Here is a 25,802-nt window from a genome sequence, read left to right on the forward strand (position 1 = left end):
TGCTTTTTGGTGTAAGACAGGTGGCATTTTCTGACCTAACTGGTTATTCAGTTGCTGGGGCTCTCTTTGGCGTGGAGTGCCTGTGTGACTAGGTGACCTGTTATTTATGTGACTGGAAGAACAGGTTGAAATGTTGGCATTAGATGTGCACTGCTGCCTTCCTTCTGTGGCCTCTTCGTCAGAGGCAGGCAGTGTCTTTGGAGGTTTACTATGGAATGTGCACTGAGCAGGCATGTTACACCTTCTGAGTCTTGGATCTGGAGTTGCTGGGAATTTGGTCTTGAACAGTGAGTACTTTTCCACTGTAAAGCAAAACTGTACACTTACTCTTGCCAGCACATGCCAGCTGTCCATAGCTTTGGCTCTGCTGCATTAACAAGTTTAAATAGGGTGTGTGTGTGTGTGTGTGTGTGTGTGTGTGTGTGTGTGTGTAGCAGGAAGGTCAGGACAGAGGTAAAACTATTTGGCAACACTTTTCCTGGAGTGGAGCAATTGCCTTCACTTAAGAGAGGGGAAGGAAAAAGTCATTAAATGGAGATTAAAGTAAAAACAGAGAAGGAAAGAAGAAAATAGTGGGAAAAAAATGGAAAACATTGAAGGGCTTTGAGACCCCACAGTGTTATTTTATTTTTCTAACTTTTTTTTTTCCTGTGCTTCTCTGGCACCTAGATACTTCCTACAATTTGAATTCCTTTAACTGTCATGGAGCATTGATGATTAACCAGATGAATGAAGTGTTTGGCTTAATTATTGAGACAGCATGTGCACACACCCATTCATTTATGGACACCCACACCTGTGTGTCTGTCACTGCACAATATTCTCATGACTCTCTTCTTGTAGTGACAGGATACAGGATATGCATTTCTTCACCTCTCATTTCAAGTATTGTTTGAGGCTAGATGTAGTTGAGGGTTAAGGGGAAGGACTCTTTTGATCCAGGACACTTCACTGCTGGTTGGAGCTTTTGTAAATACAAAACACTACTGCTGCTCACAGTGAGTTTTGGAGACATTATTCCCACTTCTGTCAGGAGCTGTGTCATTGGGCTTGCAGCCTTTGTATGCTTAATTCTCCTTGGTCACAGTCAGTGGAGAGGATTATTTTCCATGTAGAGAGGGTTTCCTGCATGCCTACGCTTTGCAGGGTTCACTTACTGTTCAGGTGTTCATGATTAGTTCTTTTGAAGTAATATACTTTTCCATTATACTGATGATAATTTTTTCTAAAAATTACAGACATGAATTAATAAGCTTCAGTTAGAATCTATAATTGATATTTCTCCATGATTATTTGTGGTCATACAGTGTAAACATTTGTTAATTGTATGAACAATCCTCCTCGGAAACTTGAAAGGTAAAATTTGATAACAAATCTTCAAATTTGAGAGAAAGATGCATGTGAAACTTGGGCTTGACTTAGAGAAGTATACGTACCTGGTTGTAGTATTTCATTATTTGTGTCCGGAATGCTTGTACCAAATTATTTGCATTTTGCATCAGTTACAAAGAGTAGGCTGAACATTTATTCCTTCATCCATTTCATGTTTTTAGACTTACTGATGGGGGGTGTTTATGTGTGAGAATGCACATGCCTTTACAGAATTTTGTAGCAAAAATTAAAAGAAATAGGGAAAAATAGCAGAGAGCCTGCTAGTAGCTTAGGGTAAAAGGTAAGTTGGAAAATGCAGAGTTGTGTTTTGTTTTGTTTTGACTTTTTTTGTTGAAGTAAAGCATACGTACAGCAAAGTCCACAAAACACAGGTGTTGAGTTTAGTGAATCATCACAAAATGAAACATGTCCTTCAGTCACCACCTAGTTCAAGAAACAGAACATATGTGCCCCTCAGAAGCTTCCACCGTGCCTCTGCTTAATCATTGCCCTTCCTGTCCTCCCCCAAAGTAACTACCATTCTAACTTCTAGCACCAGAGATGATTTTTGCCAGTTTTTGATCTTTACAGGAACGTAGTCACACACTATGTTCTTTTTATGTGTGTCTGGTTTCTTATCTGTACTGTTGCATCTAGCAGCGGTCACTTCCTTTTCATTGTTGGTTAGTAATCCATGGGATGAATATACCACAGTTTGTTCATCTCTTCTGCTATTGGCAGACTTTTACTACTATTGGCAGACTTTTGGAGTTTCTTCTCTGTGGTTATGAGTATTATTGTTATGAACATTCTTATATGTGTGTATTAATACACATGTGCACCCATTTGTGTTGGTTCTAGAATGAGGAGTGAAATTACTGGACCGTAGAGTATACCTATGTTCAGCTTTAATGTTATAGATAGAAGAAAATCATTTCTCAAGGTGGTTACCAGTTTACACTCCTGGTTACTTCACATTTTCTCCTGTACTTAAATTGTTACTCCTTTCATGTTAAGCACTCACGGATGTATAAAGGAATGGAGCAGTGGCATTAATTTGCATCGTTACCAGTAAGATTGAATACCTTTTCATACAATCTTTTTTTTTTTTTTGAGATGGAGTTTCACTCTTGTTGCCCAGGCTGGAGTGCAATGGCGCCATCTCCGCCTCCCGGGTTCAAGCGATTCTCCTGCCTCAGCCTCCCGAGTAGCTGGGATTACAGGCATGTGCCACCACGCCTGGCTAATTTTTTGTATTTTTAGTAGAGACGGGGTTTCTCCATGTTGGTCAGGCTGGTCTTGAACTCCCGACCTCAGGTCATCCACCCACCTCGGCCTCCCAAAGTGCTGGAATTACAGGCATGAGCCACTGCACCCGGCCTTATACATTCTTTTTATGTGCTCAGTGGACATTTAGACCCTCTTCTATGAAGTGCCTGTTCAAGTCACTTGCCCATTTTTCCGTTGTCTTTTTTTTTTCCAAACTTTTTTTTTTATTGTGGAAAAATACATACAACATTCATCACTTTGGCCTTTTAATTTTTAATTTTAATTTTTTAATTTTTTTAAGAGATGGAGTCTTACTCTGTTGCCTGCCCAGGCTGGAGTACAATGGCGTGATCCTAGCTCACTGCAGCCTTGAACTCCTGGGCTCAAGCGGTCTTCAGGCTTCAGCCTCCTGAGTAGCTGGAATTACAGATGTGTGTCACATACCCAGCTAATCAAAACAAAATTTTTTTTAGAGACAGGGTCTCACTTTTTTACCCTGGCTGGTCTCTAACTCCTTGGCTTCAAGTAATTCTCCTGTGACGGTGGGATTTTAGGTGTGAGCCACTGTGCCCAACCATCTTAACAATTTTTAAGTGTGCAGTTCAGTTCTGTTAAATACATTCACATTGTTGTGCAACCATCATCACCATCCATCTCCAGAACTTGTCATCTTGCTAAACTGAATCTCTGTACCCATTATATAATGACTCCACATTCCCTCTTCTCTCCAGCGCCTGACAACCACCATTCTACTTTCTGTCTCTATGAATTTCACTGCTCTAGCTACCTTATATAAGTGGAATCATATACCACTTGTTTTGTGTCTGGCTTATTTAACTTAGCATCATGTCCTCAAGGTTCATCCATGTTGCAGCATGTGTCAGAATTCCTTCCGTTTTTAAGGCTCAATAGTGTTCATTGTATGTATATGCTATATTTTGTTTATCCATTCATCTCTCAGTGAACACTTGGGTTGCTTCCACCTTTTGGCTACTGTGGATAGTGCTGCTATGAATATGGGTGTACAAAGATCTCTTCAAGGCCCTGCTTTCAATTTTGGGGGGGGTATATACCCGTAGGTGGAATTGCTACATCATATGGCAAGTCCATTTTTAATTCTTTAAGGAACTGCCTATTGTTTCTCGCTGCTAGCAGCTACACCATTTGCAGTACATAAGGGTTCCAATTTTTTCGCGTCCTCTGCAATAGTTGTTATTTTGTTTTTTGATAGTATCCATTCTATTGGGTGTGAGAGGGTACAGTGTCTTTTTGCACTGATTTGTGGTTCTTTACCTCTTCTAGATGTGAGCCCTTTATCATTTATACATGCTGCATGTATATTCCCCCACTCTGCCTTGCTTTCGCTCTCTTCTCTCCCCTCCCCTCCACTTCATAAAGGTATGATACCTTTAAAGGTATCTTCATGAACAGCAGTTATTTATTTTAATGTAGCTCAATTTATTAATCTTTTCTTTATGGGGTATGTGTGTCTGTGTGTGTATGTGAGTGTGTGTGTGTGTGTATGTATGTACGTACGTGTATGTGTATGTGTTTTTGTTTAAGAAATCTTAACCCATCCCTAGGTCAAATGAAATAGTTGCCTATATTTTTTTCTTTTTCTTTTTGTAGAAACAAGGTCTCACTATGTTGCCCAGGCTTGTCTCAATCTCCTGATTGCAGGAGATCCTTCTGCCTCACCCTCCCAAAGCCTTGGGATTACAGGTGTGAGCCACCATGCCTGGCCCCTATTTTTTTTTTTCTAAAAGTGTTTTTCTAAATTTCATATTTAGATCCTCAATCTGTCTGGAAATAATCATGTAAAATCTTTTTATTTTGAAATAATTTTAGACTTACAGAAAAGCTGAAGGACTAGTACTAAGAATTCCAGTATACTCTATCAAGATTCCTCATATGTTAACCTGTCATGATTATCACTTCCCTGTATATACCATGTATACACACATAGTTTTTTTGGGGGTGGGGGGGCTGTTTCAGCATGAACTATAGACATAATGCTCCTTTACTGCTGAATATTTCAGTGTGTATTTCCAGAAAAACAAGGACATTCTTTTTTATAACCATAGTAATAACATTGATAGGATGCTAGTATCTAATGTATAACCTTTCATTAAATTTTGCCAGTTGTGCTAATTTCAGATATAGCAAAAGAGAAAAAAAAATCTGTTTTCTGGCCCAGTATCCAATCCAGGATTATGTATTGCATTTAGTTGTTATGCTCCTCATCCTATTTAAATTCGGAATAGTTTCTCACTCTGTCTTTTATCACCTTGACATTTCTAAGGAGCGAAAGGCAGTTATTTGATAGGCTGCCCTCCAGATTTGGGTTTGGTAATATTTCCTTGTGATAAGATTTGGGTTATGCATTTTAGGCAGGAATACCACAGAAGTGTATGGAAACAGATGGCTTCCATGTTTTCCATTGTGGGGGATGTTAACTTCCTTTGGCTAGGTTTCTCCACTGTCAGGTTACTGTGTTCGCTCTTGTAATTAATAAGTAGCTTGTCAGAGATACTTTGAAACTTTGTACATATATCTATCCTTTTTTTTACTAGACTTTTCACCCTGGTTTTAGCATTTTTTTTGGATAGTTCTTTCCCAAATCAGTTAGTATTGTGATTTTTGCCACATGGTAATTTTCTAATTCTGTCATTCCTTCTACATGTGTTAGTTGGCATTCTGCTACAAGGAAGAGTTTTTACTTTCCCTTGGTTTATATATTCATTTATATTATTGTAAATTCATAGATTCTTAGTGGAGTATAAATTATTAGGATCATTTAGTTTTATGCCTAGATTATCCCTGATTTGTCCACTGGGAGCCCATCAGGCTGGTTCCTGTGTCCTTTTGACATGTTCCTATTACTCTTTGAGCACTTCCTTCATTTCTGACGTAGTAAGTTTTGTACCTTTTCGGTCCCAGCCCTAGAATCAGCCATTTCTTCAAGGAGGCCTTGTTCTTTTTAGTGGAGGATAGTACTTAAAAACCAAGACCTGGAGGTTAGATGTGTTCATTGCTTTTGGGACACACACACACACACGCACATATCTATGTCAATTTCTGTATCTGTATCTATTAAAATGTGTGAGTTCACACTGATATTTCCAATTCCATTGACTTAAAAGGTTCATAATAGCCTTTCCACATCCTATAATTGTAATCCATTTATCCAACACTGAAATACCTGGCTTCTACAGCCTATATTTACTTATTTTCTCTCCACCCTAGAATGTATAGAAAATAGTTTTAGAATTATCTGTACAACTGTGAAAAACAGTTTATCAACTGAAGTTCAATTTTTTTTTCTTTTTGAGAGTCTAGCTCTGTCGCCAGGCTGGAGTACAGTGGCGAGATCTCGGCTCACTGCAACGTCCGTCTCCCGGGTTCAAGTGATTCTCCTGCCTCAGGCTCCTGAGTAGCTGGGGTTACAGGCACATGCTGCCACACCCAGCTAATTTTTGTATTTTTAGTAGAGACGGGGTTTCACCATGTTGGCCAGGCTGGTCTTGAACTCCTGACCTCGTGATCTACCCACCTTGTCCTCCCAAAGTGCTGGAATTACAGGCGTGAGCCACTGCAACCGGCCTGAAGTTCAATATTTGCATACTTTTGTCTTTGGCTTGAGAGTTTGAGGATTTATGGTCAAAATACTACCGTGGTGAAAAAATACTTGGGTTGTGTTGTTCATTTGAAATACAGTTAGTCTGTTTGTTCCTATCCTATTCCATTTTAGGTTTTTCCTATCTTTATTTAAATTTTATTTATTTGTTTATTTTCAGCATATGAAACACTAACATGGCTCCACGAGTCAGAACTATATGAGAAGATATGTTCAGAAAAGTGCCCCTCTCCTCCCCTGTTCCCTCTTACGCAGTTCCCACCCATCCCAGAGGTTAACAGGCAATTTAGTTTTTGTTTATTCTTCTCATGTTTCTTTTTGCATAAATGAGCAAATACACATTTTTTATTTCCTTTTTTACACAAAAGGTGGCAAAATATATTCTTTTGCACTCTGTTAATCTTTTCACTTAATGTACTCTAGAAATCTCTCTCCATACCAATTGGTAGCAGTCTTTCTTATTTTTTGTTGCTGTTTAATACCTCATTGTATTCACTAAAGTGTACTTCATATGCTTTCCTGTGTATATATAGGCATTTAAGGCGTACCAGTATTTTGCAATAAAAAACAATGCTGCAGTGAATAATTAGCCATGTGCATATGTATTTTTGTATTATTGGAGGTGTATCTTCAGGTTAAATTCCTAGAAGTGAAGTTGCTGGAGAGAAGGTAAATACATGTGTAACTTTGTTAGATATTGCATGATTCCTTTCATAAGGCTTATGTCAAGGTGCATCCCATCAGCAACTAAGGAGAGTGCCTGTTTCCCCATATTCTTTCCAAAAGAGCATGTTTACCAATCTGTTAAGTGACAAGTGCTGCTTAATTTGCATTTCTCTCATTATGAGTTAGGTTGATCATCATTTTCTCTGTGTGTGTGTGTGTTTGTAAACTGATTGTGTGATTCATTCATTTTGTTCATTTTTCTGTCTTTTTTTTTGGTCTTTTTCCCCTCAATTTTAAAGCATTCTGTGTTAGGGACCTTAACCATTTGTTTGTGAGATATTGCAAATATACTTTCCCAGTTTTTTATGTTTTAAAATTCTATTTATGATGGTTTTTTGGTTGTACAAAACATTTTAACTTTTTTTAATTAAAAGGATTTTTTATTTTTAAGATTTTAATTTTTATGTAGTCACATCGATCAAGTCTTTGTTTTATAATTTTAGATTTAAAATCGTAGTTAGAAAACGTTGGACTTTATGTTTGATATGGTGTGAAATAGGTCTCAGCATTTATTTTTGCCCCCTTGGTGTATACACTTGACCTAGCACCATTTTCTGGAAAACTCTTGTTTTCTCCCTTGCTGCCTTGGTTATAAATCAAGTGTCTATAAATATGCAGTTTCTTTATGGACTCTGTTTCACTAGTTTATTCTTGTTCCAGTGCTGTACTGTCTTAATCATTATAAGTGCAAAGTTTATGATTTGGTGCCGTTATGTGTATTTAACTTTGTCATTAGCCAAAGGCAAATTGTAACCAGAGAAGTGTGATGAGTAGTCCACTTTGACATGACAATGTAGGGTGGTTTTCAATGTAATTATTATCAAATGGAAGAATTTAACTTACGGAGGAAGAAAGATTAGTTCAAAGATAATTTTACTTTTATTAGCAGGATACAAAAGAAGATTGAAAATATAAGAATGTGTTGAGTTTACTTACTGGCTATTTACTGGCTAAGAGAGGAGGGACAAATTGGCAGGAAAGTGGTATGACTTTCATTGTGTGACTTCGGCATCATAGTTGATGGCCAGTTTTTGTGAACAGAAACAAGTCTTAAAAGTATGAACAGACCAGGCATGGTAGCTCACACTTGTAATCCCAGCAGTTTGGGAGGCCAAGGTGGGCAGATCACTTGATGCCAGGAGTTCGAGACCAGCCTGGCCAACGTGGGAATACCCCATCTCTACTAAGAATATAAAAATTAGCTAAGCATGGTGGCGCATGCCTGTAGTCCTAGCTACTTAGGAGGCTGAGGTGGGAGAATCACTTGTACCCGGAAGGTGGAGATTGCAGTGAGCCGAGATCATGCCAGTGCACTCCAGCCTCGGTGACAGAGTGAGACTTTGTCTCAAAAAAAAAAAAAAAAAAAAAAAAGAATATGAACAGTCCTTGAAATTAATGCAGTGTTTCCCTCTCTTTTTATGTATTCTAGATTTCATAATGTAACAGCCCTTAATTACTAGAGTTGAATTCTGTTTAATTCATTGAAAATATTTATCCCTTTTTCTGCCTCTTTTTTTGGGGGGCGGGTGGGGACAGGGTCTCACTCTGTTGCCTAGGCTGGAGTACGGTGGCGTGATCACAGCTCAGTGCAGCTTTGACCTCCCGGGCTCAAGCGATCCTCTCACTTCAACCTTCCCAATAACTAGGACTACAGGCATGTGCCACTTTGCCCAGGTAATTAGTTTTCAAATTTTTTGTAGAAACGGAATCTCCCTATGTTGCCCAGGCTGGTGTTGAACTCCTGGGCTCAAGTGATCCACCTCGGCCTCCCAAAATGCTAAGATTACAGGCATGAGCCACTGTGCCCAGCCTTTTCTGCCTCTTTTTAACCTAATGGTACTGTATTAGAACTTTGATAATTGAATAACAGAAATATGCTTCATATGGACTCACTGACATTTAGAACTGGAAGAGACTTTAGAGATTAGTTACTTATGAACTATCTTACCTTGTAGAAATGAATTCAGTATGATTATCTGAGAGAGGGCATGGTTCCAGATAGAAGATAGTGTAAATCAGTTGGCTAACTCATGCCAAAGAGAGAAAACTTTTGGGTTCTTTTGTTAAAAAGTAGTTTTTCTCTTTTTTTCCCCCACATATCTTTAACTGCTCTGTGTTCCCTTCATTTCTAGGAGAAGTAAAAACGTTTCTTCACTACTTTTTAGAATAATAAATTTACAGCCAATTTATTATCCATAGTGTTTTTTAAGGCTCATGTTTTTTAAATTGCCTTTATAAAATATAAATATTGCAGATGGTCTTTCTCAAGTAATAACGATCATTTAGACAGCAGAACCCTTTCTCAAACTGTAAAGCCTCTAGTTTTTTATTAATATATTATGCATGTTTTAGAAAATACCTCCTTTCAATTGTGACTAAAATTTGATTACTACAGAATTATAAGGTAAAAAAGATAAATTTCAGAATAAATTCTTTTAGATACTGGCCTCATCATGGAATCACTTTAGAGCAGTGAAGATTATTTGACTCTCAAGGATATTTCTTTCTAGAAATTGCAAGATGACACTTCCTGTGGCATTATAGGACTTTCCCAAGATATCATGTGCTATCCCCCATCATCTGAATCTGGCATATGTGGACACATAGCAGGCTTCCATAAAGTCTTTGATTACATGTACGAGTTTATTATTTTAAAAAGAAGTACGTGATTGTTTATAAACCTATAAAGAAGTTCTGTTTCTGTAGGACAGTATGGTGTGCTGCTTACTACCTGTCAGATAGTTTTGGTAATAGGGCTCTTGAACTTAGTATAAAAGTCATGAGCTTTGTTGAGTCTCAAAATATCTAATCTTGCTTGATCTAGTAAATTTGTTTTTATTTTCTGTTGCTTCTAGACCAAGAGCAGTGATGACCTTTTAGCTGGAATGGCCGGAGGGGTAACGGTGACTAATGGTGTTAAAGGAAAGAAAAGCACCTGCCCATCTGCAGCACCTTCAGCATCTGCCCCTGCCATGACCACCGTGGAGAACAAATCCAAGATTAGCACAGGTAACGGTGACATTCAGTCTGAGACTTCAACTGCTTTTTTGTTTGAATGGGCATGATGCATTGGTGTTTACAGTGTTCCATCTAATTATAGGAAATTTTAGACATACAAAAGTAGATGGATTGATATTTCAGCCCAATACGCTCATCACCATTATCAACTCATAGCCAGTTGTAACTCCTGATACCCACCCTTCCCTCTTATTATTTTGAAGCAGATTCTGGACATCATATCATTTCATCCATAAATACTTTATTATCTTGGAAAGAGAAGGATTCTTTTTTTTTTTTTTTTTTGAGACAGAGTCTTAGTCACGCAGGCTGAAGTGCAATGGTGCCATCTTGGCTCACCACAACCTTCGCCTCCCAGGTTCAAGCGATTCTCCTGCCTCAGCCTCCTGAGTAGCTGGGATTACAGGCATGCGCCACCATGCCTGGCTAATTTTTGTATTTTTAGTAGAGATGGGGTTTCACCATGTTGGTCAGGCTGGTCTCGAACTCCTGACCTTGTGATCTGCCTGCCTTGGCCTCCCAAAGTGTTGGGATTACAGGCATGAGCCACTACACCTGGCCAAGGAGAAGGATTTTTCTTTTTTTTTGAGATGGAGTTTCGCTCTGTCACCCAGACTGGAGTGCAATGGCATGATCTCAGCTAACTGCAAGCTTCGCCTCCTGGGTTGATGCCATTCTCCTGCCTCAGCCTCCCGAGCAGCTAGGACTACAGGCGCCCACCACCAAGCCCAGCTAGTTTTGTTTTTTGTATTTTTAGTAGAGACAGAGTTTCACCGTGTTAGCCAGGATGGTCTTGATCTCCTGACCTCGTGATCTGCCCGCCTCGGCCTCCCAAAGTGCTGGTATTACAGGCGTGAGCCACCACGCCCGACCAGAGAAGGATTCTTTTAAAAATATAATCATAATACCATTATCAGTCCTTGAAATAACTGATAATCATTCCTTAAATCATAACTTATTCAATGAGTATTTAAATTTCCAACAGTCTTATAAATATTTTTGTTTTATTTACTGTCTATTTTTATATTTGGATCAGGACTCATGTAGGTCCATATATAATTGGCTGATGTGTCTCTTAAATCTTCTTTTTTAAAATCCATGGGTTTATCCTGATTCTTGCAGTTTAATTTTTGTGGAAGCTGGTCATATGACCTATAGAGTTTCTGAGCATGTGGATTTTTATATCGTAATACCCCCATGATGTTTTTGCCCATCACCCTTTATTGTCTGTATTTATTGTAAATGGCATTGGAGCCTTATGGGACAGATTCAGGTCCCCTGTCCCCCCATTTTGAAAACAAAACAACCAAAATACAAGACTCCTTCATAGGTGGTGGTGTGTCCACCCATCAGGAAACACATAGTTTTTGATTGTCCCTCTTTAAATGATGTTAGAAGCCTCTGATGATCAGTGCCTAGATCCATTCATTCTAATTCTGCCATCTTTCTTCATTCAGTAACAGGTATTTGTTTTTAGATTTGATGGAGTTGATAAATTATCCTACAGTCCAAGGAGTAATGCTCTCATATTTTACTTCTTACGTTTATAGAAAAAGAACTTTAAAACTTCTAGTAAACATAAGATCAAGTGTTTGTAATAAAGCTTATGAAGGCAAATTGTAAAAATTACATCAGATCCTTTTCTGTCATCGTAATTTAGGCTCTTAGCCCCTCTTGTGTGTATTAGACTCTCCTAGCCCAGGATTACCTACTGTCTTCATTTTTGCTTTGGCTTTATGCAGATTCTTCCTTCCATTTCAGATTGGGCCTCCCTGTTAATGATAATAGGTGCGATTAACAGGAAGGAATATTGAAGTCCTTGCTTTCTGATTTACAGGCATGATTTCATTTTATCCTCACCTGTAGTCCTGTGAGAACTAGTATCCTCATTTTAGAGATGAGAAAGCTTAAGTGTCTTGGCCAAGGCCATGCATTCATTTGCTCAGTAAATATTTATTGGGGATCTGTTTTGACAAGGCCACAAGGCTGGTGGTGAGGCAAGGTCTTTTACTCCCAAGCCTGGGGTCATCACCACATTTAACATTGTAGCTTATGTGGTAGGAAGGAAATTAAATACTCTTGCCATTTGCATGTCTTCCTGTTTCCTGCCTTTAGAATTGTACTGGGAGAGATTCCATGTGTTTGTATACTTAGTTTCTTACTGACTGATGCTACCTGACCTCAGGATTCAGTTATCACCTCTCTGGATTAGCTGCCCCAGTATGGCTTTGTACGTTTATTTTATTTTGCTGGGGATGTCATAACAAAATACCACAGACTGGATGGCTTAAGCCACAGAAATTTATTTTCTCAAATCTGGAAGCCAGAAGTCTGAAATGAGGGTGTTAGCAGATTTACTTTCTCCTGAGATCTCTTTTTTGTCTTGCAGATGGCTGCCTTCTCTGTGTCTTCCCTCTGTGTGTGTGTCCTCATCTCCTCCTCTTACAAGAACGCCAGTCATGTTGGATTAGGGCCCACCCTAATGACTTCATCTTACGTTAATTACCTCTTTAACTTCATTATCCTGTCTCCAGGTGCAGTCACATTTGAGGTTTTGGGGTTAGGGCTTCAACATATTAATTTTGTGTGTTTTGTGCGGGCACAGTTCAGCCTATAACAACATCCTTATTCTTCAGTTCATCTGCTCTACCTTTACCTCCTCCAGTGACTTTCCTAAGACTGTTTGATTTCCATGTATCAATTCACTTGTCTTTACCTCAGATTATTCTGTCTACTCATTACAGTAATCCAGAGAAGAATTTTTCTTCTTTTATCTTTCAAACATGAACAGATTTTCTTTTTATTTATTTATTTATTTATTTATTGATCATTCTTGGGTGTTTCTCGCAGAGGGGGATTTGGCAGGGTCACAGGACAATAGTGGAGGGAAGGTCAGCAGATAAACAAGTGAACAAAGGTCTCTGGTTTTCCTAGGCAGAGGACCCTGCGGCCTTCCGCAGTGTTTGTGTCCCTGGGTACTTGAGATTAGGGAGTGGTGATGACTCTGAACGAGCATGCTGCCTTCAAGCGTCTGTTTAACAAAGCACATCTTGCACCGCCCTTAATCCATTTAACCCTGAGTGGACACAGCACATGTTTCAGAGAGCACAGGGTTGGGGGTAAGGTCACAGATCAACAGGATCCCAAGGCAGAAGAATTTTTCTTAGTACAGAACAAAATTAAAAGTCTCCCATGTCTACCTCTTTCTACACAGACACGGCAACCATCCGATTTCTCAATCTTTTCCCCACCTTTCCCCCCTTTCTATTCCACAAAACCACCATTGTCATCATGGCCCATTCTCAATGAGCTGTTGGGTACACCTCCCAGACGGGGTGGTGGCCGGGCAGAGGGGCTCCTCACTTCCCAGTAGGGGCGGCCGGGCAGAGGCGCCCCTCACCTCCTGGATGGGGCGGCTGGCCGGGCGGGGGGCTGACCCCCCCAACCTCCCTCCCAGACGGGGCGGCTGGCCGGGCCGAGGAGCTCCTCACTTCCCAGTAGGGGCGGCCGGGCAGAGGCGCCCCTCACCTCCTGGACGGGGCGGCTGGCCGGGCGGGGGGCTGACCCCCCCACCTCCCTCCCGGAGGGGGTGGCTGGCCGGGCGGTGGGGCTGACCCCCCCACCTCCCTCCTGGACGGGGCGGCTGGCTGGGCGGGGGGCTGACCCCCCTACCTCCCTCCCGGACGGGGCGGCTGGCTGGGCAGAGGGGCTCCTCACTTCCCAGTAGGGGCGGCCGGGCAGAGGCGCCCCTCACCTCCCGGATGGGGCGGCTGGCCGGGCGGGGGGCTGACCCCCCCCACCTCCCTCCCGGACGGGGCGGCTGGCCAGGCGGGGGGCTGACCCCCCCCACCTCCCTCCCGGACGGGGCGGCTGGCCGGGCAGAGGGGCTCCTCACTTCCCAGTAGGGGCGGCCGGGCAGAGGCGCCCCTCACCTCCCAGATGGGGCGCTGGCCGGGCGGGGGGCTGACCCCCCAACCTCCCGGACGGGGCGGCTGGCTGGGCAGGGGGCTGACCCCCCCACCTCCCTCCCGGACGGGGCGGCTGGCCAGGCAGAGGGGCTCCTCACTTCCCAGTAGGGGCGGCCGGGCAGAGGCGCCCCTCGCCTCCCGGACGGGGCGGCTGGCCGGGCGGGGGGCTGATCCCCCCACCTCCCTCCCGGACGGGGCGGCTGGCCAGGCGGGGGGCTGACCCCCCCATCTCCCTCCTGGACGGGGTGGCTGCCCGGCAGAGATGCTCCTCACTTCCCAGACGGGGTGGCTGCCGGGCGGAGGGGCTCCTCACTTCTCAGACGGGGCGGCTGCTGGGCGGAGGGGCTCCTCACTTCTCAGACAGGGCGGTTGCCAGGCAGAGGGTCTCCTCACTTCTCAGATGGTGCGGCCGGGCAGAGACGCTCCTCACATCCCGGACGGGGCGACAGGGCAGAGGCGCTCCCCACATCTCAGATGATGGGCGGCCGGGCAGAGACGCTCCTCACTTCCTAGATGGGATGGCGGCCGGGAAGAGGCGCTCCTCACTTCCTAGATGGGATGGCGGCTGGGCAGAGACGCTCCTCACTTTCCAGACTGGGCAGCCAGGCAGAGGGGCTCCTCACATCCCAGACGATGGGCGGCCAGGCAGAGACGCTCCTCACTTCCCAGACGGGGTGGGGCCGGGCAGAGGCTGCAATCTCGGCACTTTGGGAGGCCAAGGCAGGCTGCTGGGAGGTGGATGTTGTAGCAAGTCGAGATCACGCCACTGCACTCCAGCCTGGGCACCATTGAGCAATGAGTGAAGGAGACTCCGTCTGCAATCCCGGCACCTCGGGAGGCCGAGGCTGGCAGATCACTCGCGGTTAGGAGCTGGAGACCAGCCCGGCCAACACAGCGAAACCCCGTCTCCACCCAAAAAATACGAAAACCAGTCAGGCGTGGCGGCGCGCGCCTGCAATCGCAGGCACTCGGCAGGCTGAGGCAGGAGAATCAGGCAGGGAGGTTGCAGTGAGCCGAGATGGCAGCAGTACAGTCCAGCTTCGGCTCGGCATCAGAGGGAGACCGTGGAAAGAGGGGAGAGGGGAGAGGGAGAGCCAGATTTTCTTTTTTATAAGGATTTTTGATTTAGATAAGGATGTGGTACCACTTGCAGAACTAGGGAAAGGAATTAATGTTGGGGAAAAAAGTTACCCCAGCCAGGTGCGATGGTGCACGCCTGTAATCCCAGCACTTTAGGAGGCCAAGGTGGGCAGATCACTTGAGCCTAGGAGTTCAAGACCAGCTTGGGCAACATGCCCAATGTGGTGAAACCCCGTCTCTACAAAAAATACAAAAATTAGCTGGGTATGGTGGCGTGTGCTTGTAGTCCTAGCTACTCGGGTGGCTGAGGTGGGAGGATCACCTGAGCCTGGGAGGTAGAGTTGCCGTGAGCTGTGATGGCACAACTGCACTCTAGCCTGGGTGACAGAGCCTCAAAAAAAAAAAAAAAGTTATGCCATCTTTTTCCATTTTTGGCCTCCGTATACAGTTGTTTATCCCAGTCTGGTTACTCTTGCCTTTGATATCTGTCACAGATTTCTTGCCTCTTCTCTGTTCTTACTGCCGCCCCTGAATGTGGGACCTCTTTTACCTCATTGATCTACCTGCCCACATTCCTCCTCTGCTGCTCTGCTTTCTTCCTTATGTATTCCACTTAGAATCTGTATTAGTCCATTCTCATGCTGCTGTAAAGAACTGCCCCAGACTGAGTAATTCATAAAGAAAAGAGGTTTAATTTACTCACAGGTCCACAGAGATGGGGAGGCCTCTGGAAACTTAGAATTATGGTGGAAGGGGTAGCAGGCACATTCTTCTCCACATAGTGGCAGGAAGGAGGAGAATGAGAGCCAAGCAAAGGGGAAGCCCCTTACCATCGGCTGTCATGAGAACTCACTATCACGAGAACAGCGTGAGGGTAACTGCTTCCATGATTAAATTACCTCCCAACAGGTCCCTCCCGAAACACATAGGGATTATGGGAACTACAGTTCAAGATGAGATTTGGGTGGGGACACAGCCAAACCATATCAGTATCCTCTAGATTAATTTTCATAAAATGTACTTTTCCTTACATTTCTTTCCTACTCAGGATCATTTATTGACTTAGTGTGACTCACTGAATTCTGCCTATCTTTTGGGACTCTATATGAACATTCCCCAGCAGCTTCCGTTAACTGTGTGACTGTACTTTTCCTTTCTGTGTGCCATGTTCACTTCTGCTTCCTTTCGTTGTCTGTCTTTTTGCCAGCCTGAATTCCGCATCCTCCTGTATACCTGTTCTGTTAGTGGCTATCTCCCTCTATCTGTGGAGATCATTTGCTCCCTGTTACCTCTACAGCCTGGATCCCACCACCTAATGAACCAGCAGGGTCTTTAAAAATACTTATTGATTAGATGTGGATCTTATTTTTTAACATAAAAATTTGTTATTTCTTAAGTATTTACAGGTATTTAAACATATTCCTGGCCAGGTGCGGTGGCTCACGCCTGTAAGTGCGGTGGCTCACGCCTGTAAATTCAGTGGCTCACGCCTGTAATCCCAGCACGCTGGGAGACCGACGCGGGCAGATCATTTGAGGTCAGGAGTTTGAGACCAGCCTGGCCAACATGGTGAAACCCTATCTCTACTAAAAATACAAAAAAATTAGCCAGGCATGGTGGCACGCTCCTGTAATCCCAGCTACTTGGGAGGCCTAGGAAGGAGAATCGCTTGAACCTGGGAGTCAGAGGTTGCAGTGAGCCGAAATCGCTCCACTGCACTATAGCCTGGGTGATGGTCAAGAGAGACTCCATCTCAAAAAAAACCAAAAAAACGAACAAAAAAAACTTCCTGTTCTTTTTGTATTAAACAAATGATTGTGTCAGTTTTCACAGGTTTAAAATTTTAGTAGTTAAGTAATCATGTGATTCACGTAGATTTGATTGACGCATCATCATTATTTAACATTAGTGCTTCGTTGTTTTTTACATTTAGAGAGACAGTATAACATACTGGTTAAGGTGCAAAATCTGGAACCAGACTGCCTGGGTTTCAATTTTGGCTCATCTATTTATTACCTGTGACATGTTGGCAAATTATTTAACATCTGTGTCTGAGTTTCTTCATCTGTAAAACAAGGTGATAATAGCACCTACCTCACGTCTTTAATGAGGCTTATATAAGTTAATGTATGTGAAGTGTTAATGTATTTGTATAACCAAGTGCTAGGTATGTGTTAGCTATTGTTATAATTGTTATTATTTATGTGGCATTTTATGGTGTTAAAACTATTTTGCATTTACTTTGGTCAGAGTAAAATTTTTGTGTTTCTAGTAGGTAGCTTAGATTTTTGGTTTTCCCAGAGACTGCTTTTCCCTTCTTGCCCACCTATGATCTCCCTTCACTATCTGTGTACAGTTAGTTTACCACCGACTGGCTAATCCTGGAGTCATCTTCACCTGTCTTGCCCTAGAATATTATGCCTCTGGCCAACTGGTTAAAACCCCACTTCTGGATTCAAGTTAATGTATATCATTTAAATAACAGCTTTGTAGAAATGTAATTCACATTCCATAAAATTTACTCTTTTAAAAACATGTAAAACAAAGTGTATAACTTATTTCTCCTTGATAATTAAAAGATGAATGATCTTCTGGTTTTGAAGAAATTGAACTTTAACAGACTCTAAGGCAAGATTATTGTAGATCTAAATCATTGTGTAGATCCTGGATTTCATCTCATTACACCTGGGGCAGGAACTGTGTATTCTATGTAGCCTTTTATTGCTGACATTTTTGCCTTACATTTTTTGTATTAAACACATAGGCACAGCTTCTTCAACCAAGCGGAGCACTTCTACAGGTAATAAAGAATCCAGTTCTACTAGAGAAAGATTACGTGAACGTACCCGATTAAACCAGAGCAAAAAACTACCTTCTGCAGGTCAGGGAGCTAATGACATGGCATTGGCCAAACGTTCCCGCAGTCGAACTGCTACAGAATGTGACGTTCGTATGAGCAAGTCTAAGTCAGACAATCAGATCAGTGACAGAGCTGCTTTGGAGGCCAAAGTGAAGGATCTTCTCACGCTGGCAAAAACCAAAGACGTAGAAATTTTACATTTGAGAAATGAACTGCGAGACATGCGTGCCCAGCTGGGCATTAATGAGGATCATTCTGAGGGTGATGAAAAATCTGAGAAGGAAACTATTATGGCTCACCAGCCGACTGATGTGGAGTCCACTTTATTGCAGTTGCAGGAACAGAATACTGCCATCCGTGAAGAACTCAACCAGCTGAAAAATGAAAACAGAATGTTAAAGGACAGGTTGAATGCATTGGGCTTTTCCCTAGAGCAGAGGTTAGACAATTCTGAAAAACTGTTTGGCTATCAGTCCCTGAGCCCAGAAATCACCCCTGGTAACCAGAGCGATGGAGGAGGAACTCTGACTTCTTCAGTGGAAGGCTCTGCCCCTGGCTCAGTGGAGGATCTCTTGAGTCAGGATGAAAATACACTAATGGACCATCAGCACAGTAACTCCATGGACAATTTAGACAGTGAGTGCAGTGAGGTCTACCAGCCCCTCACATCGAGCGATGATGCGCTGGATGCACCATCCTCCTCAGAGTCGGAAGGCATCCCCAGCATAGAGCGCTCCCGGAAGGGGAGCAGCGGGAATGCCAGTGAAGTGTCCGTGGCTTGCCTGACTGAACGGATACACCAGATGGAAGAGAACCAACACAGTACAAGTGAGGAACTCCAGGCAACCCTGCAAGAGCTAGCTGATTTACAGCAGATTACCCAGGAACTGAATAGTGAAAACGAAAGGCTTGGAGAAGAGAAGGTTATTCTGATGGAGTCTTTATGTCAGCAGAGCGATAAGTTGGAACACTTTAGTCGACAGATTGAATACTTCCGCTCTCTTCTAGATGAGCATCACATTTCTTATGTCATAGATGAAGATGTAAAAAGTGGGCGCTATATGGAATTAGAGCAACGTTACATGGACCTCGCTGAGAATGCCCGTTTTGAACGGGAGCAGCTTCTTGGTGTCCAGCAGCATTTAAGCAATACTTTGAAAATGGCAGAACAAGACAATAAGGAAGCTCAAGAAATGATAGGGGCACTCAAAGAACGCAGTCACCATATGGAGCGAATTATTGAGTCTGAGCAGAAAGGAAAAGCAGCCTTGGCAGCCACGTTAGAGGAATACAAAGCCACAGTGGCCAGTGACCAGATAGAGATGAATCGCCTGAAGGCTCAGCTGGAGAATGAAAAGCAGAAAGTGGCAGAGCTGTATTCTATCCATAACTCTGGAGACAAATCTGATATTCAGGACCTCCTGGAGAGTGTCAGGCTGGACAAAGAAAAAGCAGAGACTTTGGCTAGTAGCTTGCAGGAAGATCTGGCTCATACCCGAAATGATGCCAATCGATTACAGGATGCCATTGCTAAGGTATTGTTTAAATAGATTAAAATGTTCCGGACAGCATTAGGCAGCTGCCATGCACAGTGTTTACTGAGAACCTGGGTTACTGGTTTGGTTTGGTGTGTTATTAGCTTTTTTTTAAAACTGATATTTTTAAAACTTGGGAATGGTTTCCTTTTATTGGAATAGTGTGAAAAGTATTCTTAAGATAATGTCACTTTCTCTCACTTGTATTTTGTTTCTGTTTTCCTGCCTGTGAGAGGATATGGCTGGTATTACAGCTAAAACCAGAATTTGTCCCTAGTTCTGAGTATTCCTATGGAGCGGGTCATGAAATTTTACCTCCCCCCGCCTCATCTCGAATCTGTTTTGGTGTAATAGGTGGAGAGTCAGTATTCCAGTCTGTAGCATCAGCAGTGCATGTTTCCTCTTATCTTGCTATAGTAATAGTTTTTCAAATAGAGATCTGTTGATAGTTAAAAAATATTTTTGGCATATAGAGGCTCCTGTTTCTCAGAGGCCTGTGATTTATTGCTGGCAGGGACCTTAGCAATTATCAGTCCAGACCCTTGTTGTACATGCCTCCAGCATAATAGTGAGGACTCAGTTGGAACTGCTACCCAGGGCCACTGGCATTCTGGCCAGGGATCTATCTATACCCCATGTGGTTGCTGATGAACTGTTTATTTCCATGAGTTATTCTAGTTATACTAGTTATTCTAGCTTACATTTTATTTATTTGTTATTTTAGTGCAATGATTTTAAAATAAATTTTCATATATCTTTGGCTAAAATTTGAGTAATTTAGATTTTAGGGTGTTTTTAGTGATCACTTTTAAAGTTACAGTTTAGGAGATTTGTATTAGTTCTTGGCACATACATGTTGAGAGGCTACTGTGAACTAATACTTTTGTAAAAACACTATTTGAGAATTGTTTTCCCTTTTTCAGTTTGATACTGGAACCGTCACAAATATGACATCATTTTTGTTAGGACAACATGTTAATCATTAAACAAACGTACATGCTTTCAGTCCAAAGTTAGGAGAAACGAAAATTTCCAAAGTTTCCTTGTAAATAATCAGGTTAAGTTCAATGATACATCAATATAATTTCAGTCAGTGTTACAGCAACAGTTTAAGTGTATTAGATAAAATCTTACCATGGAGTGCTTTTTCATACTTTTTAACAGTTATTACACAGGTTGTTTTAGTTTATCCATAGTGCCTCATACTTAGCTCCCCTTGGAAACTGTGTGTACCTCAATTCTGGAACGTACCTTAGAACAACTCTTAACTTTTCTAAATCTGCATCGTCAATTTTACGTAGGTAGAGGATGAATACCGAGCCTTCCAAGAAGAAGCTAAGAAACAAATTGAAGATTTGAATATGACGTTAGAAAAATTAAGATCAGACCTGGATGAAAAAGAAACAGAAAGGAGTGACATGAAAGAAACCATCTTTGAACTTGAAGATGAAGTAGAACAACATCGTGCTGTGAAACTTCATGACAACCTCATTATTTCTGATCTAGAGAGTAAGTGATAAGAACTTTTCATTCTTTTTTGTCCTACTCTTTTAAACATGCGGGGATAATTTGCATTTAGTAATAAAATAGGGCTGGGCACGGTGGCTCATGCCTGTAATTCCAGCACTTTGGGAGTTCAAAACCGAACCAGGCTGGGCACAGTGGCTCACACCTGTAATCCCAGCACCTTGGGAGGCCAAGGCAGGCAGATCACTTGAGTTGAGGAGTTTGAGACCAGCCTGGCCAACATGGTAAAACCCCGTATCTACTAAAAATACAAAAATTAGCTGGGTGTGGTGCCAGGTGCCTGTAATCCCAGCTACTTGGAAGGCTGAGGTGGGAGGATCGCTTGAACCCAGGAGACGGAGGCTGCAGTGAGCTGAGATTGTGCCAGTGCAGTCAAGCCTGGGTGACAGAGTGAGACTTTATTTCAAAACAGAAAAGAAAAAGTCACAGATTGATCCTGTGTCCATGGTAACTGCCTGGCAATATCAGCATGATTGATGGAGATATAACCAGAGCGAGAATGGATTATTTTTTGTCAGAGAATAATGGGGTTCATAATCAATAATGGGACTCAAAAGTTATGAACCCATTATTAAATGAGTAGGGCAGTGCCCAGAGTTGTTCAGAACAAAGTTGGTCTAATAACATTGAGAACAGCAGTTTGCCTGATCTCTAGAATAAAAATAACATTGTAAAAATTGAGTTATAATTTGTAATTTAAAAATAGGAAGATCATAGTAGTAGTTCTTTTCCTTGGTCGACTTGAATGTTGCTTTTGAGTTGAAGACAGTAGATGGCAGTGTCCCTCACAGTAGGAACACTGAAGAGGAAGGAAACTGCTGTTAGAGGTTCGAGAGTTGAAGAGTAATGCTGCTTTCTTGTGTGACCACAAATCGTGCTAGATGGCAGTTTTGCAAACTAGTCTTCACAACAAGAACTTAAGCACAAATTCCTTTGTTTCCAGGAAAAAAAAATACATTCCATTTCAGAGTAAAAACGTAGTCATGACTGTAGAGATTGTAAAGTTTAAATCAAATCCCTACAGACACTTTTAGTGCATTTTATTCTGTCTGAGTATTTCCACTGGCTGCCACTTTCCCTTTTACTTAAATGGATTTATTTATTTATTTATTTATTTATTTATTTATTTATTTATAAGAGGTGACAGTAATAAAAATGTAGTGCCGGGGGCAGAAAAACACCTTTTAAAGAACAGTGATTATGTGAATTCTGTGGCCATGAATGAAAAAAGGTCAATAAAGAGAAAAAGAGCAAAGGAATGAATGCAACTTGAGAATTTATGATCAGTCTAAGATGACCAGGTAGCTTAAAATGTCACCTGAGAATCAAAATGCCAAATGTTAAAAGTGAGCTGTCCTGAGATTTGCTGTCATTTGTCATGTGTGTATTATGTTTAACAGTAAGTAGATGTGTCATGTCCTTTGTGACAAGAAAAAGAAAACAATTTTCAGCAAATTTCAAGAGAAATTACACTCCTAACATTTTTTGTTTGCTTGCCTGTTTTTTGCTGTTTGTTTGCTTTTTTGGGATGGAGTTTCATTCTTGGTGCCCAGGCTAGAGTGCAGTGGTACCATCTTGGCTCACTGCAACCTCTGCCCCCCGGGTTCAAGCGATTCTCCTGCTTCAGCCTCCTGTGTAGCTGGAATTACAGGCGCCCACTACCACACCCGGCTAATTTTTTATTTTTAGTAGAGACAGGGTTTCACCACGTTGGCCAGGCTGGTCTCGAACTCCTGACCTCAGGTGATCAGCAGATATTACAGGCCTGTGCCACCACGCCTGACCGCCTGTTTTGATTATGAAATATTTCTTGCATATAAATTGATACAATGTAAATGAAAGGTGTAACTCCCAGTGTTTTCAACATTAGAAATTTTTCAGCTTCTGTCCTTACTCCTCGTCTTATGTCCAAAACCCTGAATTTGTCTATGTGTGAGGTCGCAAGGAACCAAGTTCCCTTGCTGATTCCAGAGCCATCCTTGCCTCCAGAGATAAGGATCAGGGCATTAGACTCGTCTACTCAGCTTGGTGTCTGCTTTACCCAAACCAGATTAGATGGCCTGTTTGACTCTTCGTTTGCAGGTTGAGTCTGAAGTACCTTATGTGTGAGACAGGCTTTAAAGTTTAATCTTTTGCTTATGAAGTCATCTACCCTTGTTGTCTCAACACAAGACTAGCCTTTCTGTCTCTAAGAGGATGAAGATTATATCTTTCCTTTCCTTTACATCTTAAGCACTTAGAAAAAAGCCTGGTACAAAGTTGGTACATATGACACATTTATCAAATTAAAGAGTAAATTTTGAACCTTTTTATTTCACAGGACCTGACTTTGTTACACAGTTTTGGGGCAGTGAATGAGAGCAAGTTAACTACTGCCTACCAGAATTGCCCCTGCCGCCAACGTTTTATCCCATTTATTTCTGATCCAGCTTTAGAAAATACAGCATTATTATTTATTTGTAATAATTATTATTCCACATATAATTGTTGTAAATATTCTAGGCTCTATGTTGTTAAAGTGAATTCATGCCATTTAAAAATACCAGAACACTGGCTGGGTGCAGTGGCTCATGCTTGTAATCCTAGCACTTTGGGAGGCCGAGGCGGGTGGATCATGAGGTCAGGAGTTCAAGACCAGCCTGGCCAACATGGTGAAACCCCGTCTGTACTAAAAATACAAAAATTAGCTGGACGTGGTGGCAGGCGCCTATAATCCCATCTCCACAGGAGGCTGAGGCAGGAGAATCGCTTGAACCCAGGGGGCAGAGGTTGCAGTGAGCTGAAATCATGCCACTGCACTCCAGCCTGGGCAACAGATTGAGACTCCGTCTCAAAAAAAAAAAAAAAAAAAAAAAAACATCAGAACACACATATACCAACATCAAATGTAAAGCATAATGGCAAAAAAATTTTAGAAGAGAAGGTTCTAGTGGAACAGGGGTAAAGAAGATGATGAGCCATCTAAGAAAGAAAGAACATCAGCATACTCATACTTTAGGGTCCTAATTAAAAGCCAATAAAGTGTTAGCTAGAGGAAGAATTTTTTGATTACATGTGTCATTGCAAGCAGGTGTTCACTATGCCTGAATTCCTGCTACTAAGTATAAGGAATGGGAGAGAATGTTATTTACCCAGAAACACTAATGTCTATAGTTATGTTTTCCCTAATGATAAATCGTTAAGTTCTGTCAATAGGATACTTATTAAAAAAAAAACAAAAACCTAGGTAACGATTTCAGCATTACTTTTTATTACTGCTACCATTAGCTGGCACATTTATAAATTTATTCCATTTTAAAGATACCATATTCCAACTACTGAGTCTGTGAGGTCATCACATGGCTTCTTCTGCCTTTGAAGTGTTTTTAGTCTAGTGGTCGAGACAGATGTGTCGAGATGTGGTAATATTGGCGGCAACATGGTACAAGGCTGTGTAAGACACACTTGGAACACACACAACAGCCAGGGATCTACTGGGGTGGGGCTGTAGGTAAATCAGGGTAAAGGATTTGCCACCAGTTGTGTAAGTACCCTTTCTTGCCCTTAACCAAAAAGTGATTGGTTCCTGAGCTGTCAAAGTAACACAGCCGTAAGCGGTTTACTTAGTGGCAGCTATCAGCATAGCACCCTCCTAAGTCATTTATCTCTTATGCATGGATTTTAGAGTAGAACCTCCAAAGAGAAGGTGACTTCCCTTTACGTTTCTGGTTCCAGGGAGACTAGCCTGTGCTACACTTTCATCCTTGTATCCTCACTCTATCTAGAATGGTACTTTGCATCTTATTGGTGGTGCTCATTGAATGTTTTTAGAGTGAATGAAATTGTTCTAAGAAAATTCACATTATCGGATAAATAATTTGAGGAATTATTGATTTACTTTATAAATATATTCTTTATTTTTTAAAAAGATTTTTATAGAATTAATTGAAACAGCAGCTACCCTGAGTATTATATTTTTTACTAATTTTGATTTTACTAATTCACTTCTTTTCTGGAATTTATTCCAGTGTGTAAGGAAAGCTATGCTTATATAAATACTGCAGATTAATAATACTTGTGATTAAAAGTTCATATTGTAGTCACAGTCAATATTGTTTTGATTGGTTATGTACCAACAAAGTGAATTTCTAACGGTTTTACTTTTTGTTTCAAAATTAAGATACTGTGGAAGGAAGTGATTTAGAAATTGTGATTTTTAACTTGATATTTTCCAAAGAAAGTAATATTTGTTATTACTTGAATTTAACATTTTTTCTGTTAAAGTTTTGTATTAAAATTTTTTATAGTCTTTGGACAGGATAACTTTTTTCGAATGTCATATTTAAGTATCCCTTTTCTTTGTATTATTACTCTGAAGATTGTTGTGAGAATAGATATTTAAACTTTGGTGATCTTTTCAGATACAGTTAAAAAACTCCAGGACCAAAAGCACGACATGGAAAGAGAAATAAAGACACTCCACAGAAGACTTCGGGTAGGATAAATCTTCATGTATTGTCTTGTTAGAAAACGGTTTTCTGAAATCTGAGGTGTAGTCATTGACCATGTTATCATTCATCTTAAGTTTTGGATACAGTGATAATACTGGCCCCATTGGGCTTTGGGCAGAAAGCAAATGCTATCATTTCAAATTGGGATTGGTGCTAGATTTTGGGTAGAAGAATGTACTATAGGTTGAGTACCCCTAACCAGACATTCTGAAATCTAAAATATTCCAAAATTTGCAACTCTTGGAGTGATGGCATGATACTCAAAGGAAATGCTTATTGGAGCATTTTGGATTTCGGATTTTCAGATTTGGGATGCTTAGC

At 41.5% G+C, this 25,802-nt stretch overlaps 1 protein-coding gene and 1 long non-coding RNA gene across 4 annotated transcripts in view, besides 2 other annotated features; both read left to right on the forward strand.

Moving 5' to 3' along the window:
- The window catches only part of SPECC1L-ADORA2A (SPECC1L-ADORA2A readthrough (NMD candidate)), a 171,544-nt gene that overhangs the window by 32,638 nt on the left and 113,104 nt on the right, over window positions 1-25,802 (forward strand). The window contains 4 exon segments of the long non-coding RNA NR_103546.1: window positions 9,859-10,012; window positions 17,834-19,464; window positions 20,766-20,973; window positions 25,392-25,465. This is a non-coding gene — a long non-coding RNA (SPECC1L-ADORA2A readthrough (NMD candidate)).
- Window positions 1-25,802, forward strand: part of SPECC1L (sperm antigen with calponin homology and coiled-coil domains 1 like) — a 146,908-nt gene that overhangs the window by 32,624 nt on the left and 88,482 nt on the right. For all 3 annotated transcript variants that reach the window (NM_015330.6, NM_001145468.4, NM_001254732.3), the window contains 4 exons: window positions 9,859-10,012; window positions 17,834-19,464; window positions 20,766-20,973; window positions 25,392-25,465. In NM_015330.6, the coding sequence (NP_056145.5) occupies window positions 9,859-10,012; window positions 17,834-19,464; window positions 20,766-20,973; window positions 25,392-25,465 (2,067 nt within the window). The remainder of the gene's footprint in view (window positions 1-9,858; window positions 10,013-17,833; window positions 19,465-20,765; window positions 20,974-25,391; window positions 25,466-25,802) is intronic.
- Window positions 167-461: a silencer, noted in NCBI's record as "tiled region #3699; K562 Repressive non-DNase unmatched - State 15:Elon". NCBI's record gives its function as "represses a minimal TATA promoter and a strong SV40 promoter by Sharpr-MPRA in K562 cells {active_cell/tissue: K562}" and the evidence as "EXISTENCE:reporter gene assay evidence [ECO:0000049][PMID:27701403]".
- Window positions 12,837-13,574: an enhancer, noted in NCBI's record as "OCT4-NANOG-H3K27ac hESC enhancer chr22:24712259-24712996 (GRCh37/hg19 assembly coordinates)". NCBI's record gives its function as "activates a minimal SCP1, AML or CMV promoter by ChIP-STARR-seq in naive H9 embryonic stem cells {active_cell/tissue: H9 hESC(naive)}" and the evidence as "EXISTENCE:reporter gene assay evidence [ECO:0000049][PMID:30033119]".

Source organism: Homo sapiens, chromosome 22, assembly GCF_000001405.40.
Source record: "Homo sapiens chromosome 22, GRCh38.p14 Primary Assembly".
Lineage (NCBI taxonomy): Eukaryota > Metazoa > Chordata > Mammalia > Primates > Hominidae > Homo > Homo sapiens.